Source organism: Homo sapiens, chromosome 14 (genome assembly GCF_000001405.40).
Source record: "Homo sapiens chromosome 14, GRCh38.p14 Primary Assembly".
Taxonomy (NCBI): Eukaryota; Metazoa; Chordata; class Mammalia; order Primates; family Hominidae; genus Homo; species Homo sapiens.
Window position 1 is genome coordinate 24,497,314 of NC_000014.9, and position 20,522 is coordinate 24,517,835.

Genomic DNA, 20,522 nt, shown 5'->3' on the forward strand with positions numbered 1-20,522 from the left:
AGCAAACACTGCATGTTCTCACTCATAGGTGGGAATTGAACAATGAGAACACTTGGACACAGGAAGGGGAACATCACACACTGGGGCCTGTCATGGGGTGACGGGAGTGGGGAGGGATAGCATTACGAGATATGCCTAATGTAAATGACAAGTTAATGGGTGCAGCACACCAACATGGCACATGTATAGATATGTAACAAACCTGCACCTCGTGCACATGTACCCTAGAACTTAAAGTATAATAAAAAAAGAAAAAAAAATTTAAAAAGTTTTTCAAATTTTAATTTTTTCAGTTTTATTTATTTATTACTATTAATATTTATTTATTTATTTGTTTTTGAGACAGAATCTCACCCTTTTGCCCAGGCTGGAGTGCAGTGGCACAATCTTGGCTCACTGCAGCCTCTACCTCCCGGGTTCAAGCAATTTTCATGCCTCGGCCTCCCAAGTAGCTGGGACCACAGGCACCCGACACCATGCCCAGCTAAGTTTTGTATTTTTAGTGGAGACAGGGTTTCACCTTGTTGGCTAGGCTGGTCTCAAACTCCTGACCTCAAGATATCTGCCAGCCTCAGCCTCCCAAAGTGCTGGGATTACAGGCATAAGCCACTGCACCCAGCCAATATTAATTTTTAAATTGACAAATACAAATTGTACATATTTACAGTGTACAACATGAAGTTTTGATACACATATGCATTGTGGAATGACTAAATCAAGCTAATGAACATATTCATTGTCTCACATGCTTATCTTTTTTTATGGTGAGAACACTTAAAATTTATTCTCTTCATGATTTTCAATTATTAAAATGCATTGTTGTTAACCGTAACCAGCATGTTGTACAATAGGTCTCTTGAAATAGGCCTTTATTGTTGTTAACTTCCTTCCTTTAATTATGTTTTGCTCATAAGACTTTTTCACAGGTAAATGATGAGTTCACCCATTGAGTTGAAACCCTTGTCAGGGAAGGTCAGGAGTGCATATATCACGTTTTGGACCTCTCCCATGACACCAGTGAATTACAGGTGTGCAGTTTGCAGGCCCTCACTATGTCCTGCTTTACACAGAGGTTTTCATCCTGACTTTATTCTGCTTCACCCATGGGTTTGCTGAGCTCTCTTTACCTAGGTTGTTGAGGACTAGATAAATCATTGTTGATTTGACTATCAAATGGCCGTGGAGAGACAAACCTTGGCTTATAAGAATGTATATGTTTGCAAGAACTTTTCTTAGGGAGGGGCAGAGGCTGAGAAGAATTCAAGTTTGTTGGGCAGTGTGTGGAGAGAGGAGTGCTATGAAGCTGTCAGAGCACAATATTTACAAGCATCAGATGTTCCTGAACATTCTGGAGCTGTACTCTATACAAGTTCTGACAGTAGGATAAGGCTTCTTTGTTTCTCTTTTCAATTTCTTTTTGGTTATCATTTACCATATAATCACTTTAGAATAATTTGACACATATAAGGGAAATCTGTTTCTCTATTACCCCTTGCTCTATATCAAGTAGGATTGTGAGTGTACAAAGTAGTTAAGGGAATTGGAATGGAGGGAGGGGAACAGCTTTCAGTATCTTAGGTGAAGGCTCAGCTTTGGGTCAGGGTCAGGGCCGGGAGTCAGGGGTGTCCCTGTTTGGCCTCCTTACTTCTGTCTCTGCCTTTTCTGCAGAACCCAGGGAAACTGGGCTGTTTTGGACTATAATTATCCAGTGTTTGTGTTGGGCAGGTCCCTTCCCATGGCATGGAGAAAAAACCCCTCATATCTGGGCTAAATCTGCAGATGCTGGAACATTTTTCTTCCCCTTATCAGAACCTAGCCTCCATTAACAGGGTCAGTGTCACTCTCTGAATCACTGAATCAAATCTGCAATGATGGCTGATATTGTCTTTTATGGATGGGCTGGTTGAAGAGGCCAGTGTGGCACCAACAGCTCTTTCCACACTCCTTGCCCAAGAGGAAGTTGTCTTCTTTGGGTTCACACTACAGGGCAGACCCAGCCACGGGCCTCAGGGCATCCTTAAAGCTTTTCCTAGGTAGTTCCTCCCAGCTCAGGCTCTGGATGATCCTGAGGATGTCCTCCTCACTCCCTATCTTCTGCCCCAGGCGACGGGGTACCATGTCCTGTGGTTTCCCTGCTTCCTGGGGAATGTGCTCTGTATGGGAAAAACAGAAAATAAGACCATTTGCTGAGCATCTAAGCAAATGTTTGAGAAAGCCCTCCTGCATTTTTGTGTTTCTTCATTTTTTTTGTGATTTGTGAAAACAAAAACAATTTTAAGGAGAATAAAAAATTAGAATAAATAAATAAAAAAGCCATTCTTTAAGTTACAATTATGAGAAAATTACCTCTATTTTTGAAGGATTCTTTCCGCTTTTCCCTAAAATATATAGTTTTCCATACTGTTGCAATCAAAGTATGTGTACATTTTTGAATATTCTTTTTTCTTCAATTCGCACTATATTGTACTTATAACTAGATTTGGAGTTGGGATTCCCAAGCTCTGAGGCAAGCAGGGAGGGAGCTGTTGGAGGCCCCTTGATGTTTGCGCCTTTGGAGTAGCATGATTGTGAAAGCAGTAGAAGGACTTCAGAACCAGGAAGGTCATCTCCTCCTGTACCTCTCCCTTACCCCAGGCTCTGGTAACCACCATTCTACTTATTTCTATGAGTTTGGCTTTTAAGAGTATATGACCGAGATCATGCAGTATTTCTCTTTGTGTGCCTGGTTTATTTCACTTAGCATAATGTCCTCCTGGCTCATCCATGTTGTTGCAAATGACAACATTTCTTCTTTTTAAGGATGGATAATAGTATTCCACTCTGTGTGTGTTTGTGTGTGTGTGTGTGTGTGTGTGTATGTATGTGTTCTTTATCCATTCATCCAGTGATGGACACCTAGGTTGATTCCATATCTTAGTTATTACGCATAAACACGGGAGTGCAGATATCTCTTTGACATACTGATTTCAGTTCCTTTAAATATATATCCAGTAGTGGGATTGCTTGATCATATGGCAATTGTATTTTTAATTTTTGGGTAAAGCTCCATACTTTTTTTCATAATTTACATTGCCATCAACTATACTAATTTACATTGCCATCAACAGTGTACAAGTGTTCTCTTCTCTACATCTTCACTATCAGTTATCTTTTATTTTTTGATAATTGCCATTCTAATAGGTGATATCTCATTGTTGTTTAATTTGCATTTCCATGGTGATCAGTGATGTTGAGCATTTTTTCATATACCTATTGGCTATTTGTATTTTTTGAGAGAGGTCTATTAGGTTCTTTGCCCATTTTAAAATTGGGTTATTTGCTTTCTTGCTATTGAGTTGACTTCTTTATTTGTTTTGAATATTAAACCCTTATTAGATGTGTGATTTGCAAATATTTTCTCCCATTCTATTGATTGTTTCTTCACTCTGTTGATTGTTTCCTTGGTTGTGCAGAAGACTTTTAGTTAGATGCAATCCTATTTGTCTATTTTTGCTTTGTTGCCTGTGTTTTTGGGATAATATCCAACAATTCATTGCCCAGAGCAATGTCATGGAGTTTTCACCTATGTTTTCTTCTAGTAGTTTTAGAATTTCAGGTTTTATATTTAAGTCTTTAGTCCATTTTGAGTTGATTTTTGTATATGGTGTGAGACAAGGGTCTAATTTCATTCTTTTGCATGTGAACATCCAGTTTTCCCAACACCATCTATTGAATAGACTGTCCTTGCCCTATTGTGTGTCCTTGGCAGCCTTGTCAAAAATCAATTTGGACATCTATTTTGTGTGGAGAGAAGTGGCGCAGGGAAAGGATACATGTTAGCTCATGGCCATGGATATTGGTTAGTGGCTATCACTCACAACAGCTGGGGAATGGGTACATCACCTGCTTAAGAGGTCCTGGGAAGGGCATCAACAATGTCTACTAAAATCCATTCCTTGCACTGTTCAGATTCACTTGTTTCTGGCCTTCAGGTGGGTAGTTTTTATTTTCTCATCCACATTGGTGTTACCTCCTCAACCCCCTCCTTTACTCACTCTAATAGATGACATTTACATACATAATTAGGTCCACTGTTGACAATATACCTTTGCTCAGAATGATCTAATTATCAGCAGAACAAAGGTGAGCTTGTTTATGGAGAGTCCCAACTACATCTCTGGGTAAGGACCAGTGCACCTGGTCCAGTTTATACACCACTCCAGCTTCCCTGGATTCCACTTGCATTGACTGCTTGCTTTGCTTTTAGGTTGGAGTGGCTCTGGTGACAACTCACTCTGTTCTCATGGTCACAAATCCCTGCTCACTGCTGCCACTGCTGCTGCCACCACAGACCAAGAGCTCCACTTGCACAGTGCTGCTGGCTAAGAAGAAGTTGCTGTACCTGAGCACTGGACCACATGGACTCACAGAGACTCCCAACCAAGTAAAGGGGTGATATGGCTTGTGGATGTCAACCATATTCTCTTCTTGATCACCTCGCTGCTGGAACAATGGGCCATGGTCAGAGTAGAGTGGTCATGGAGGTTGAATAGATGCCATGAATGGGTCCAAGAACATGGACACTCTCTTTCACCAAAATCAATTCGGGTCTTGCCACTGTTAATCACCTAACTTGCCAACAGCAGAGACTATCGCTGAGTCTTTGAGATGGCACTGCTCTTGGAGAGATCAGGCAGCCATCCAGTGAGAGGTTGACCCCTCTGCTTTGGAGGGGATGGACATTCATCCTTATCACCATTGATACTTGCTCTAGACATGAGTTTTCCTTCTCTGCCTGAAATTCCTCTGCCACTACCACCATATGAGGGCTTACAGATTTCCCAATCCATCAACCTGCTTCTCACACACATTAGCTCAGAGTAAAGGACTCATTTTATGGCAAAGAATGTAAAATGATGGGCTCATTGGTCTTATTATATACCATGCCACCCAGAAGCAGTCAACCTAGTGGAATGATGAGCTGGCCTGTTGAAAGCTCAGCTAAGGTGCCAGCTCAGAGATGACACCCTGTAGGGTTGGAAGTTGGAGCACTGCTTTCCAGGATGTGATACATATGCTGAATCAATACCAATCTATGGTTCAGTGTCCCCACATAACTAGAATATATGAGTCCAGGAACCAAGGGATAGAAGTAGAATTGATCCCTTCAGTTATCACTCCCAGGGACTTACTTGTGGAATTTGTATCTTACTGTTCCTGCAAACTTAAATTCTGCCAGTTTAGAGGTCTAAGTTTCCAGGAAGTAAATGCTTTCTCCAGTGGAGGTGGGAAAGGCTCCAGTGAACTGGAAGTTGTGACTATCACTCAGCTGTTTGGGGCTCCTCATAACAGTGGACCAGCAGGCAAAGGAAAGAGTTGCCTTATGGCTAGAATAATTGGCCTTGATTACCATGAGAAGCTAGGGTTGCTGCAATGCAATGGGAGAAGATAAGAGTATGACTGCAACCCACGGGATTTGCTGGAAGTATCCCCCATACTTTTGTGCTCACTGATGATTGTAAATGGGCAGTTACAACAACCCAAACCTAACAAATGCAAAGCATCTAACAACTCAGTCCCCTCGGGGTAGAGGTCTGGGTCACTCCATCAGACTACAGCACAGACTTACTGAACTGCTAGATGGTTGTTGGGGGACACCTAGAGTGGGTGGTGGAAGTGAGATGCAAAATATCAATTAGGACTCTGGGATCAGCTGTGGCAGTGGAGATTTTCAGGAGATTGCAATTGGCCATTGACACCAATTGCCAGGAAAGACTGCTCACTAACCTGAGGGAACCTGTAGGGCTTAGCTTCTCTGGTAGCTTCCTGAATGGGCTGAGTGACGCGACCTGGAAATGGAAGGATGCTTTGTTCCCATGCAGAAAACCCTGAGCAATGGAATTCTGAAGATGGTTATATGTGCTTATCCACTGGTGGAGCCATGAGTAGTGCTGCGTCCTCAATAGTTAGAATACATGGATGGGGCTTGGAGCCAGCATAAAGACAAAATCAGAATAGCTATTAATCCCATCCTGTAGACATAACCCCCATAATTATTTTGATGTAATTACTTCCAATTTTTTCCTGTGCATATATAAAATATATAGCTACAAAAGTGAGATTCTACTATAGGAAGATTTTCATATTGCTTTGTAAAAGCATTACATTATATTGAATATATTGAATTTTCTTGAATTTTTCCATACTAAATGTTTTTAACACAAATTTTCATGAATTCAGAATATTCAGTCATACAAGTTTATCATAGAAGCTTTTCTCCATGTCTGGGATTCCAGATTTTTGTTATTGAAAATGCTGAGATTCAAACTATCACAAGGACAAAAAACCAAACACCGCATGTTCTCACTCATAGGTGGGAATTGAACAATGAGAACACATGAACACAGGAAGGGGAACATCACACACCAGGGCCTGTTGTGGGGTTGGGGGGGGGTAGGGATACCATTAGGAGATATACCTAATGTTAAATGAAGAGTTAATGGGTGCAGCACACCAACATGGCACATGTATACGTATGTAACAAACCTGCACGTTGTGCACATGTACCCTAATACTTAAAGTATGATAAAAAAAAAAGATAACCAAGAAAAGAATGTTGAATTTATAGACAGCAATTGTCCTTTTTGTAGAAAAATATTGAGCTCCTGTATTTCAGGTTAAAATGCATGTCAATTTTTCAGATGAAGTAACTGAACATATCAAGTAGTATCTTTAAGTCATATAGCTGGTAGAAGACTTGAAACTAGAAACCAGAGCTGAAATGAAGTCAAAAGTTCTCACTTTGGTATGGTTTCATGTTTCTGAAAAAAAAAATCAAGTCATACAGTGCATTAAAAAATTTTTCTGATATCTAAGACTATGATAGAAATTTCATATGTATATATGTGTGTGTGTATAATAAATCACTTTTTTAATACCTTTGATATATTAAATGCAAAGCAGAAATTATTTGGAAGATGAAATATATAGGAATAAATTATAAAAAGTAAAAGCATAAATAAAAATGCTGAGATTAAAATTTTTATGCATGAATCTTTTTGTGTGTCTTTGATTCTTTCTTAAAGATAAACTCCCAGCAATAGTTCACTTGGCCAAAGGTGTTCAGTACACCCTCAGAAATGATGGGTGTTGCCAGCCTCAGGCTCTGGCTGTCCTGTCCCTTTCCTGCCCTGTTTTCTCTCCTCCAGTCAGTCTCCCATGACAAGGGTTTGTGTTGAGCAAGCTCTAGGTTTTGGTCTTCCTGCTGGTTTGGGTGAAGCCATTTGTGGATGGGTGTTGCTCATGCAGACCTTGTAGTGCTGTCTCTCCTCTAATCTGCTCTCAGTATCTGTTTGGTAACAATGAGTGAGTGGGAGGCAGTCTTCTCTGCATATCAGATGAAAGCTTCACAGAGGGAAGATCTTTTCTTATCGATGTGGGCTATGAGGAGGGCCCTGTGTGGCATCAGCTGCCTTCTTTATATCATGTATCTAAACCATGGTCTTCAACGAAAGAGAGCCAGTGGTCTTCAACGAAAGACAGTGATCTTTCTTTCCTCCTCCCTCCCTCGCCTGGGGACATTTAGCAATGCCTGGAGACATTTTGGTTGTCACAACTTTGCGGTGGAGAAGGGGGTGTTGCTTCTGGCATCTAGTAGGAAGAGGCCAGGGATGCTGTAAACATCTTATATCTTGCTTATAATTGAAAATGTTCTTAGTGCTTCTGAATATTACTAAAGATAAATCAGAATTGGTATAGGGTTGATGATTAAGGCAAAGAAGGATTTGGTGTCTTTTCTTAAGCTGGAAATATGGATCCTGCCTTTCCAGGGAAAATCTCTTCTTTTTCCTCATTTTTTTTTCTTCATTAATTCCTCTCTATTTCTCTCTCTCTCTCTCTCTCTCCCTCCCCCCCCATACACACACACACACACACACACACACACACACACACACACACAAACCCCTTCCAAATCCTTGGGTGCTTGGGCTGGGAATCAGGTCACTATGTGCAGGGAGAAGAGAGCAGCAGAGAGGGGACACACACTCACGACTAGAAGCTGTGTCTTCACTGAGGTTTATTGAGAGTTCTGTGACCTGTAGGATACTTCTGGAGGCTTAGGGTTGTGGCTGAGGGACCAAGGGTAGACCAGAATGAGTGGCACACACTTTGCTGCTCAGGTCCAGTTCCAGCTTCCCTTTCAGGCTGGCTCAGGATCCAGGATTAATTTGCCTGCAGGATCTGGTTGATCCAGGGCCGGTAATGGGAGATTCGGGTGAAGACAGCAGGGGGCTTTGCATCCGACCGTCCATAGGATACGATGCCCTGGGCCACCCCAGCACACAGAAGAGGGCCCCCAGAGTCTCCCTGTAGGGGGAGGAGAGAGAGAAGAAGGTGAGCCCGGGAAGTCCTCCACTCCTGTCTGCCAGCCAGCTTGGAGTCACAGTGAGACCTAAAGTCAGACGCAGGAGGTGGAGCTCCTCACTTATACATCTAGTTCTGATGCCCCTTCTTCCTTTCTTGGGACCGTCATCCACATTCTCCACATCACCCCATGCCCCCAGTGCAGTAGACTGGAATGGATGGTCAGAGGCTGTCTTGGACCACGGGAGGACAGCAATTCCTGTGATGCTCACCCTGTCACTGACTGACAACCTTCTGACCCCATCTCCTTCTAAGAGCATTCTGGTCCCTGAACAGTGAGTTTTGGAGAGGAAACCTAGTTGGAGGATCACCTTAAATGCAGATTTTGTCTTCCTGGGATTGCCCACACACAGCTGAAGATTGTGGTCAAAGTCTCTGAAGTGGCTGCAGGCCTGGGGATCCATGAGTCTCAGCTTCACCTCTTGCAGAGTGTCTGAGCCCGGCTTCAACACACCTGTTCTTCCCCAGCCAGCCACCCGGCACATTCTCCCAGGTGGGACAAAGTTGAATTGGGATGGGAAGGGGAGTGTCCCCACAGCCAGGGTCAGGCTGGCTTTCTCCTTCAACTGTGAAGGGAATGAAGGACTGTCAGTCCTCGAAATGGGCTCTGGACAGTTGGAGGTGATCAGGGAGGGACAGGGTGAGTAGCTTCATGTTATAGCCAAGTCCTAAGAAAAATTCAGGGCAATGAGGACCTGAAGGAGAAGCTTAGGAGAATGGGAAGTGGAAAGGGAGAAGAGAGGTGTTGTCACCTTTAGTAACATGATATCGTGGTGAAGAGTAGAAGTGTTATATTTTGGATGACGGAATTGCTTTATAACCTCAAGCTTCTGCCATGTGTCTTCTTCCTCTGTTATGTTATGGGCTCCAAGGGTGACTGTTATAGACCTGTTGTGAGGAAGAAGGAAGGAAAAGGAGCGACAGTGATGGCTTGGGGTTTCTTCTGAGGTGAGCTCATTCTGAGAAAAGAGGACTAAACTCTGTCACTGGGTCGCCGGACTCTACCCATCTCCCTTTTCATGGGCCACTTGTGGCATTTGAGGGCTCAGGCTTAACTCATGAAAGAGCTTTCTCAGGAAACAGACACAATTTCTACGACCCCTGGAATTGCTGGGGACTGAACAGGCCAGGGAGGACTCAGGGGACAGGGTTCACACTTCCTAATTCAGGGAACCCTGCATGAGGGCCAGCCCCTGAAGCAGGAGATATCAGTTAAACGGGAAAGTGGGGGTCTCATGTAGACCCTGTTCTCTGCCTCCCATAAAATGATGGGTTCAGGACCCTGAGAACTAGAGGCCAGTGTTCTTGAAAAGGCCATAGAGGAAGTGGCCCTGAGACTGGGTGGGGCCCTGAAAAGTGAGCCGTGTGTCTTGAGTTGGGTAGGGGTGAGGGGTGCTACTGCAACAAGAGGGACCTTGGACAGGACCTCCTTTTCCTCCGAAGGGGAGCTTAGCTCACAGTGACTGAGGCTCAAGGAACTATTCAAACACAGACTAAAGTCTTTCAGCCCAAGTCTTCCCTCTCCTGAAAGTTGACAAGACCCAGGACCCCCTCTTCAGTCCCCAGTGCAGGTGTATTCCTGGATGCTACTCTGGTTGTTCATCTCCCATTTGGAGATAAATAGACCCTGTTGTCTCACCTTCCTGCACAATGAGCAGCCGTCAGCACAAAGTTCCGTCTTATAAGGAAACCACCACAAAATTTTGAGGGACCGTTGGAAGTTACAATTTCCAGGTAGGCCATGTAGGGGCGGGAATGTGGCTTGCATTCTGTGCCCCCGATGATCTCCCCTGGAACAGAGCACCCCAGGGTTTGAACACGGCCATAGATACTCTCTCCAATGAATGGACAAATTGGGTTAAAGCTGAGCTAGGCTTCCCTGGAATCTCATTCTCACCCTGTGTTCCGCCCATCTTCCCTCTCCTGTCTCCTGTATTTCGTATCTTTCCCCACCCATAACCTCCCAGGTGAAATCTCATTCTTGCCTCTGCTCCATTCTGATGTTTTCATCTCAGACTTCTCCCACTCCCACCTTGCCCTGGCCCACCCTCCTCTGTCTCTGTGTAGGACCCACTGTCCAGGTTCCTGTTTTAGATTTCTCCATAGCTCTTGAGCATGGTCACAGAGTGAGAAAGTCACAAAGTAATGGGTAGCCCTGATGCTCAGAAGATTAAGAGGACATGTCTGTTTTCCTGGGGATACCCCTTTTCCTTCCACTTGCTCTGGGCTTTTCTACAATTGAGGTGAAATTCCTTGTTCCTGGGGGCTGTCCTAGGCTGTAGAGAATGGCAGTGGGTGGGGGTGGGGGTGGGGTGGCACACATCCCAAGTGGAAATTTCCCTCTGGGACTCTTGAAGAGAGATCTTGGAACCCTGTTTAGGAGTCAGCTATTTTCAGACTAAACATCTTTGTTTCAGGAGCTGATACTGCAGATTTCAGAGGGAAGAACCCTGATACTCACCAGCTTCAGCTCTGGAGCACAAGAGAAAGAGCAGCAGGGGGAGAGGAAGAAGCAGCATCTTCCCAGAGAGGCTGCCTGAGCAAATGCTGGTTTTCCTTTCCAGTCTTGGGTTTTATAACTCCCAGAAGGCAAGAGAGGGGCAAGGCTGGTAACCACAGGAACTGCATGGTCACGTTTTCTTCTCTCACTCTGAATTGGCTGTTTCTGATCAGAAGTTCCCCTAGAATCACCCAGTGTTTTTCTAGAAAGGAACTTGAGCCCTGAACTCCCAAGTGCTGGCTTCTCAGATGTACCCTCAACTATGGTGACTTTTCTGGAGTTGGGGGCAGGAAATGGAGGGACCATGTTTTTCTTTCCCAATTAGGGCAGCTTGTGAAAGGCCCACTGAACGTTCAGTGCAAAGACTTTTATGGCTATGTTCCATAGTCAGAAATGCATATTGCAGAGTCCCAGTGCATGCACATATGTATGTGTGAGTATGTAAGCACAAATTAAAGGTTTCAGGAAACAATCTTTATCTTAACCATGTGCAGTGTTTTCTGTTAGTTTCCATTCCACTCCACTCCACTCCATTCCACTACACGTCAAAACTTGAGCAACAACCCCATTTAAATGATAATTCCTTGTAATTTGAAAAACATTGACCTGGATCTCTCTCCTCCTCTGAACCACATGTTTTTGACAGAAGAGAGATCCAAGGAGGGTAGATGTGGGAAAAGAACAGACCCTAGGACAGAACTTTATGCAAAGAGCAATTGGGATTGGAATTAGCATTTTCTGAGAGTCTAGGTGTATCATATATTGTCACAACTCTTAGATATATTATTACTTTCACGGCAACCCTATCAATATGTATTACCATTATGATCATTATCATGTCATGATAGTCAATTTTTTAAATCAGCTATCATAGCTTATGGTTCAGAAATAGATTTTCCTGATATCAAATCAAGGTCCCTTTCTGCTCTAGCACTAGAGAGAAATAGAGGAATAGAGTCCTGCCAATGTGCAGGGGAAGTAAAGATGTAGAAGGGTGTTTGCTCCAGAGAGGTTGGGGTTTCCTACTGTTGCATTAAGAATCAAGCTTTCCACAACAACCTGGGGACACACCATTACTGTCACTTTACAATTGTAGAATTGATACTCAGACCCATTAACATGACAAAGATCACACACCTTATAATATCAGAAGTGGGTTTCAAGCACATAGCTTTTATTTTCCCTGGACTTACAGAAAGCAGTCCACATGGTGGACTGTCATTTCTCTTGGAGATTTATAAGGCATTTAGTTCAAAGACGGGGATGAGTAGTGTATAAGTGCCTTTCCCAAATCATCTCACTATGCCCTTGGTCTCAGGTTGGGCTTGTGACCAGAGTGATCCACTCCTTAGTATATATTGGCCAGGTCCTCTGTTGCTTTTAACTTAATTTCCCAAGTTCTACCTACAGCTCTAACTCTCTCTAGAATAAGACATTTAAACACATCCGTAATGTCTTTTCAAATCTGGTCTTCTTAAGTGTCCTTGTACCACTTTCTTCACTCTCTCGGGGGTTGCCAGAGAATATTCAGAATGCCCAGTTAAATTTGTATTTCAGATGAACAACAAATCATTTTTTAGTTAAGTATGTCCAAATATTGAATGGGACACACTAATACTAAAAAATTGTTGTTTATCTAAAATTTGAATTTAACTGGAATCCTGTATTTTTTATTTGCCAAAGTTGGCAACTCTTCTCTGGGCATTTCACCATTAACAGAACAGAAGAGAATCCGGAGCTGGAGAACTCTTGTCTTGTGGTCTTACATCAGTTAGACCAAAAAATCAGAGGCTTAAACAAATCAAAGCTGTTTGCTTTCACTGATATAATTAGAAATTGAGAGGCAGGTAGTCTGGGGCTAGTAAGACAGCTCCACAGCATCAAGATTCAGATCCACCAAGACTTAAGTTTTGCTCCACCTGCCTGGCTGAGGGTGAGGAAATGGAATAGGTATAGCCCCAGTCAGGGGACCAATTTCAGAAACGAGGACTGCGCTATCTGCTCACATTTCCTTCTTTGCTTTGTCATATGTATACCTGTGTATTTTAAGAGATTTCCTTTTTCTCTTTCTTCTTCCCCCTTTGGTTATTTTATATATAGCATGTTGGTAGTGAACTTTATGGTTTAGGGTACAGTTATCAAGTTGGGAGACTAGAGAATATCAAATTGAAAATGTGACCAAACTATTGTTGGAGCAGGTATCACCTAGAGACACAGTACTTGAAGTTAAAAGCAGTAACTGTTGAGACTGGGTTATTTCAGTTCTGCTGAGTCAAGTCTAATTTTCCTTTATATAAAAGATGGTAAAGATTATGTTCAGTGGGATAATTTTTGTTCTTGGAAACTTTAAGTGTGGCAAAAGAATGAATGTTGATGTGGGGCAACCAAGTGATGGATTGTAGTGGACATTTTCCATTTATATGGCTCCTTAATGTCTCTGGAACACCCTTCCTGTATTAGAGGAATTCCCAATGATAACTTTGCCTTACTAAGGTAGAATCCACAAACTTCCATTCCCAGTTTCTCTTGCATTTAGGTCATGTGACTTAGACTCTGTTAATCAGATAAAGGGGTGTACAATTTGACTTAGAAGGGAGTAACATGAGGGAGCTATTATCATGTGGAATTAATTCTTCTAGTGAGGGTGACTGGTAGAGGGGTCAGGGTTTGTGGAAATAATTGATGATTCAGATATCCAGTGCTGCCTAGAATGTTTGGGCCAAACAAGTGGTAGTAGGACCTTTGCTGCACAGTGTTATGGTGTATTTTGGACATTGCTTCTGGCTAGTTTGACTCTAGACATAATCCTACAGCATCTTGGGAAGCAGCTGTTGAGTATGTATAAGAAAGGACTTACTAACAATCTGTTGTTATAAAATAAATGTGTGGTTAGTGGAGGTAAGTGATTTCTCATTGCGGCAGATACTCAAGTAGAGGTTGAATCAAGTCTTGATTCACAGTTAGTAGGACAGAAAATTTGGGCCTGATGTAGAAGCACTGGCATTTAAATAATGGCAATGATTCCTTAGTAACTATAATGCAGAGGGATCATTCCTTCTCTGAGTTTCCAAACATTGTATTAACTGTGCTAGTATTCACTTTGACATTTAAGGCATGCAGTTTGCTCTGCAGTTAGATGGGGTGAGTTTGAATCTTGGTTCTGCCACTTAGCTATGTGTCTGAACTTAGGAAAAATTTTAAAGTTCTCAGCCTTAGTTACTGCATCCATAAAATATGAAGAATGATACAGTACAAGGATTTTTTTCAGAATTAAATATGATGCTCAATGTGAAATGCCACATGATTGGTTCTTAATAAACGTTGGTTTTATTCCTTTGTGTTTTACCTTGTGCTGCCATATCACCACTTGATGGATAATTGATAGATATATCCTCATTGGCTATAATTTTTTTGATGAAAGAATAAATCTTATACTTCCTCTAAATTCTCCTAAACACATTACAGATTAACATCTGTTATGGAATTTGGTTATTTCATGCTTTGCATGTAACATCTTTTTTCTATTCATTCATGTGCTGCCAGGCTGTTTATTATTCTCTGAGTAATGACTGTGTCTTTCTTGATTGAGCATTTCTATGCAACTTGTTTTAACCCTCGAGTTGGCAGGTATAAAACACCTAGAAACTTTTGTTGCAGTCTCTTCTAAAGAACTCCTGTGGGTCAGGGACAGCTGATGGCATGGGCTCATACTGAGCAGTAGTGCAGTGGAGCAGACAGAGTACATCCTTCATGGCACTGGCAGATTTTCCTGAAGCAGGCTGGAGCTCACTCTGTGTTTGCCCTCGCAATAAGTCCTGCCTGTTTCTATAGTTTCTGAATGACCAAGTTTTTCTGAATTTAAGGTTTATGTTTAATAGCTGCTGGCTTACATTAAACATCTATAAAGCAATTTAAGAGAATTACTTTCAAATTGATTTATTTTACGATACTCTTGCCTTCACTCCTAACACAATAGCTCACTTTTGAATTACTGCACTCTGCACAATATTTCTGAGTGGACAGTGTATCCAGGAGAATGAGATATGTAGAGATCCTTGGAGATTATTCCCAGTGTTGGGGCAGGAGGAAGATTTCTCAGCGTGTGTGTCCTTATTTCTTTTCCAGGCTCTTCAGCACAAACCTAAAAACATTTTGCTTTTTTAAGGGGTTCTTCCTAAGATTTCTCTTTCCACTCACCATTTCTGCAATGGGCTAATATTAAAGTAGGGAGAGTCTCTGAGGGTGCCCTTTATCATAAGTTTGGGCAAAGCTCTTTATGTGGATGGTTTCTGCTGTAGTCTCTGAGATGCTACTGCTCCCATTATCACTCTCAGCTTCACTCAGGCAGGCCTACTCCTTGGGTCATCATCTTCTGTAACACTGTAGCCATGATGATTTTATCTTTTCTGTGTGGGCTGTGGGGGAGGTTGATAAGGCAACAACTATTCTTTCCATCCCAGGGGTCCACAAGATGCTTGTTTAATCTGTGGTTGGTGTCAGTGGTGGAGCTGGTGCTCACAGGCTCAGCCCTGATCCTCATCATCTTCACTTCTGGTTCCTGTGAGCCAAGCTGTTAGAGTATAGTTCCTGGATTGAAAGGAACTATACTCTAGTTGTATTCTAGATGGTCCTGCAATGGCTTGATAGCTCCTTACTGGGATTACCATATTGTGGGATTTCTATATTGTGCTGGGGCCTTAAAGGGTGTCTCATTGGTCTAGTCATTCTTGGTTGCAAGGAGATTCCTTAGTCTCTTGAAGGGCAGATGCTGCCCAGGATGCAGGTATGGTTTTGGTAAGGCTGATGGGGTAGATAGTGTGAAAGGGCAAATTATGTGAGACTCATGAGGCAGGTGGTATCAACAGCATGTGTCCATGGCTACAGGGTAGAGCCAACCCTGCAGGGGTCGTTTAGGGATTTTTCAATAGTGCTTCTTTCCAACCACATTTGGAAGCAAGGGCAGAGGGAGCAAATCAGGACAACGGACAGCTCCCAGCCCTTCACTTTTTTTTCTGGGAAATGCCAGGTTTTTCAAAGAAAATGAGTTGGCCTCTAGGGAAGGTAAGGAGGATGGAAATGCAGGTCAAGAATGGCAAGATACAGGGGGAGTGGACATGGAGAGATGTATTAATAAATTGCATATTGATTATGTATTAACTGGGATCCCTGTTAGGAAACTCCTCTCCCCCAACCTTTTTTCCCCCCTGAAACTTGAAGTTCTTTTTCAGAATTTCAAACATTCCCTTTAGTGATCTTTAATATTACCAAAGGTGGAGAAATCAATATTTCACTATCAGTTAATGACTGAAGTAAGGAAGTGGCACTGGCTGCTCAGGGAATGGGTCAGTGGGCAGTAGAAATGGCAGCCACACAAACAGGCCTTCAATGTGTGTTTTTAAGGGGACTTTTTGGGCATACCCCATCACCTAAGTGCATCCCTAAAGTCTGGTCAGGAGCACAGGTCTTCTGTATGACCTGGCTACAGAAAAAAATGGCTTCTCTCTGGTTATGGTCCATGTTAATTTTTTTAAAATTGAGAATCATAACATACATACATAAGAGTGAAAAAAATTTTTTCTAACCAGCTTGATTTGTCATTTCCTTTAGACATTTCATCATGTCCTTATCCTGCCCTCTTCAATATGAGAGAAGGGCCATGGATAAGAATTGGGGGCATTTTGAGCAAAGCAGGTTAAGGGAAACTTCCAAAGCCAGTTTCTGATTCTTTCTCCACCCTACTCTTCTTGTCCCTGGGACACTGTCATCAACTGTGGAAAGTATATGACTCTTCTAGGTATAGCTCTCCCTTTGGAACATATGCAAAGATATCCTGCAGCATTATTTTAGGCTCTTCTCTGACCCAGGTTAATGATTTTGGAATAGGGGCTGAGGACTTACAGGACAGGAAGTTACACCCTAGACTCACCAGATGTGGCTTCAGGAGGCAAGAGGAAGACCAGCAAAATGATCAGGGCCTGCATTTTCCCTGCGACATTGCCCATACTGACCATGGCTAGTTCTGTCACCCCTTCACTGGGCCCCGCTTTTATAGCCCTAGAAGTAGAAGAAAGGGGATGGCTTGAAGCCACAGAAACCACCTGATCTCATTTCTGTCTTTCATGCTGGCATGGTTATCTTCCTCATCAGAAATTCTCATGACTCTACTCTCTGCTCTGGGAGTGTAGAAGTTGTGGTGAGTTCTCAAGAGTCCTAGGAAGAGGGATGCACACTTGTCACTCAGAAAAGCTCTCTAGAAGTAGGTAGTAGCATGCATGGAGGGGGGAGTTTTAGGTGCTGTAGCACCCATTCTAAGCAGGGATTAGGGAACTTTTCTGTCAATCACCAGGTAGGAAGTACTTTCAACTTTGAGAGCCAAATGGTCTCTGTGGCAACTATTCAACTCTGCTGTGTAACACAAAAGCAACCATAGACAATTTGTAAACCCTGGATGTGAACATGTTGCAGTAAAACTTCATTTACAAAGGGAAGTGGGAGGCTGATTTGGCCTGCAGACCATAGTTTGCCAGACCCTGATCTAGGTATCAGCCCTTCTTTCAATTCTAATAATCAGAAGAAAGGAATGTGGTGGTGAGAGGAGGAAGGAAAAAGGGAGAATTTATTTTTTCAAAATTTTTCTTTCTTTCTATATTTTTATTGAAACATAATTCACATACCATAAAATTACCCTTTGAAAATATACAATTCAGTGCCTTTAGCAAACTTACAAGGTTGTGCAACCATCAACACTATTTAATCTAGGACATTTTCATCACCCCATAAAGAAACCTGTATTCATGAGTAGTCACTTCCATTGTCCACCTCCCCACAACCCCTGGCAACAAATAATCTACTTTGTCTCTATGTATTTTGCCTATTCTGGACATAAATGGAATTATATAATATTTGGCTTATTATGTCTGGATTCTTTCACCAAAAATAAAGGGTGAATTTACAATGTGTTTGGCACTGCTAGGACTTTACATGTATCTTCTCATTTAATCTTTATTAACAGTCTTTTGGGGTTAGTATTATTATACACAATTATGAAGCACTCAGTGGAAGTTCAGAATGTCACATAGCAGCACAGCCAAAATTTAATTTGTCTGGTTCTGAAACTCATACTTTTTCTATTCCACTAATTTGAGTAATAAGGGTTGTGGGAGGAAGAGTTAGTCCAATGAATGGAGAAAAAAATGGAATGTATAAAGGAGAATATTTGTGTTCTCTGGAGGGGTTGGGGTAACCCACTTGTGCATTGAGAGTCACACCTGGCTTGAGAATAAATTGATACCTGCAGCTGTCATTATTTGAAATTATCCTGGACTCTCATTACTTTATGTGCCACTGAGGAAGAATAAAATTGTTCTAAATTAAACAATAATGTGTCATTAATTATCAGGTTCATTTCTGTTGTGAAGAGGTTAAAATGAGAAATATTGTGCATCTTTTAACCTATGACACATGGTAGAGTTCAGGTGTGTGCTTTATCTCATTCACCCTCAAATCAACCCTGAGAAATATTATTGTGTTTATTTTACAGATGAAGAAACTGAGTCTCAGATAATTTGAATCACTCGAAAAAACTTTGTAAGCTATAAACATAACTAGGTATCGAACTTATATCCAATTGCATGATCTTTCCTTACATCATCCTGCTGTCCTGGACTGTAGAAGCAGAGCAAAACCAACAACAAACCATTTCCCTCAATTTTATAAGGCACAATCCATATTATTATGATTTTCAACATTATTTTTATTTCATTTTAGATTCAGTGGGTACATGTGCAGGTTTGTTACATGGATATATTGTGTAATGGTGAGATTTGGGCTTCTAGTGAAATATTGTACTCAATACGTAATTTTTCAATCCCTCTGCTTTGGAGTTCCTGGTATCTATTATTTTCATCTCCATGTCCATGTGTACCCATTGTTTAGCTCCCACTTATAAAAGAGAACATGCAGAATTTGATTTTCTGTTTCTGAGTTACTTCACTCAGGATAATGGCTTCCAGGCCCATCCATGTTGCTGCAATGGACATGATTTCATTCTTTTTTTATGGCTGCATAGTATTCCATGGTGTGTATATGTGTGTGTGTGTGTGTGTGTGTGTGTGTGTGTGTGTGTGTGTGATTAGATATTTTCTTTATCCAGTCCTCCATTGATGGACACTTAGGTTGATTCTATGACTTTGCTATTGGGAATAGTGTTATGATAACCATACAAGTGCAGGAATCTTTGAGATATAACGATATGTTTTCCTTTGGGTAGATACCTAGTAGTGAGATTGCTGGGTTGAATGCTAGTTCTATTTTTTGTTCTTTCAGAATCTCCATACTGTTTTTCATAAGAAATTTACACTCCCACCAACAGTGAATAAGCATTCCCTTTTCTCTGCATCCTTGCCATTATTTGTTATTTATTTTTTGACTTTTTATTAATAGCCTTTCTGACTAGTGTGAGATGGTGACTCATTTTGGTTTGATTTGCATTTCTTTCATGATTAGTAATGAGCATTTTTTCATATGCTTGTTGGCTGTTTGTCTTCTTTTCAGAAATGTCCGTGAATGTCCTTCGCTCTTTTTTTTTTTTTTTGAGGCAAGTCTCACTCTTTCGCCCAGGCTGGAGTGCAGTGGCGCTATCTTGGCTCACTGCAGCCTCTGCCTCCCAGGTTCAAGCGATTCTCCTGCCTCGGCCTCCCAAGTGGCTGGGATTACAGGCACCCACCATCACTCCCAGCTATTTTTTGTATTTTTTGTAGAAACAGGGTTTCACCATGTTGACCAGGCTGTCTCAAACTCCTGACCTCAAGTGATCCATCCACCTCAGCCTCCTAAAGTACTGGGATTACAGGCGTGAGCCACCATGCATGGTTTTTGCCCACTTTTTAAATGAGGTTATTTGTTTTTCTTTCTTGTTGATTTGTTTGGGTTTCTTATATATTAGTCCTTTATTGAATGCATAGTTTGCAAGTATTTTCTCTCATTCTATATGTTGTCTGTACTGTAGGTCTGTCTCATTCTGTAGGTTCTCTCATTCTGTAGGTTGATTGTTTTGTTGTGCTGAAGCTCTTTAGTTTAATTAAGTCCCATTTTTCTAATTTTGTTTTTGTTGCATTTGCTTTTGCGGTCTTATTCATAAATTCTTCATCTAGGCCAATGTCCAAAAGAGTTTTTTCTAGATTTTCTTCTAGGATTTTTATAGTCTCAGGCCTCACAGGTGAGGCCTCAAGTAGCTGGGACTATAGGTGCGCACCACCACGCCTGGCTAATTTTTTGAACTTTTAGTAGAGACTGGGATTTGCCATGTTGGTCAGGCTGGTCTTGAACTCCTGACCTCAAGTGATCTGCCCACCTCGGCTTCCCAAAGTGGTGGGATTACAGGAGTGAGCCACTGCACCCGGCCCTTATTTTGCTTTTTTGCTTCCATTGCAGATTCATTGCAGATCCGAGCACAGTTGGGTTTATGTTGTTTCCTGCTCTGTCTTACCTCCTTTCACCAGTCTCCCCGTTTATTCAGTGTTCATTCTAAGCAGTCCTTAAATCATCCCTTTCCCATGGGTTTGGGTAGAGACCCTTAAATCTGGGATAGTTCTTTCGTTAAACCTTGTGATGCTGCCTG

At 42.0% G+C, this 20,522-nt stretch overlaps 1 protein-coding gene and 1 long non-coding RNA gene across 3 annotated transcripts in view, besides 2 other annotated features; one reads left to right on the plus strand and one right to left on the minus strand.

Annotated features, from left to right (window-relative positions):
- Window positions 1–4,884, plus strand: part of LOC101927045 (uncharacterized) — a 59,245-nt gene extending 54,361 nt beyond the window's left edge. The window contains exon 3 of the long non-coding RNA NR_110032.1: window positions 4,247–4,884. This is a non-coding gene — a long non-coding RNA (uncharacterized LOC101927045). The remainder of the gene's footprint in view (window positions 1–4,246) is intronic.
- A 3,155-nt stretch (window positions 4,885–8,039) lies between these two features.
- Window positions 8,040–10,952, minus strand: CMA1 (chymase 1). 2 transcript variants are annotated; one of them, NM_001836.5, is made up of 5 exons: window positions 10,865–10,952; window positions 10,043–10,193; window positions 9,156–9,291; window positions 8,715–8,969; window positions 8,040–8,346 (listed from the first exon to the last, which is right to left on the minus strand). In NM_001836.5, exons 1-5 carry the CDS (start codon window positions 10,920–10,922, stop codon window positions 8,203–8,205), a joined length of 744 nt encoding a protein of 247 aa, NP_001827.1. In that variant the 5' UTR covers window positions 10,923–10,952; the 3' UTR covers window positions 8,040–8,202. The 2 variants fall into 2 exon arrangements, with proteins under 2 accessions (NP_001827.1, NP_001295012.1); NM_001308083.2 differs by lacking the exon at window positions 10,043–10,193.
- Window positions 9,561–10,760: an enhancer, noted in NCBI's record as "BRD4-independent group 4 enhancer chr14:24976080-24977279 (GRCh37/hg19 assembly coordinates)". NCBI's record gives its function as "activates an origin of replication core promoter dependent on BRD2, P300/CBP, MED14 and CDK7 cofactors, and independent of BRD4, by STARR-seq in HCT116 cells {active_cell/tissue: HCT116}" and the evidence as "EXISTENCE:reporter gene assay evidence [ECO:0000049][PMID:35650434]".
- Window positions 15,797–15,997: a silencer, noted in NCBI's record as "peak2123 fragment used in MPRA reporter construct". NCBI's record gives its function as "represses an SCP1 promoter by STARR-seq MPRAs in K562 erythroleukemia cells {active_cell/tissue: K562}" and the evidence as "EXISTENCE:reporter gene assay evidence [ECO:0000049][PMID:32103011]".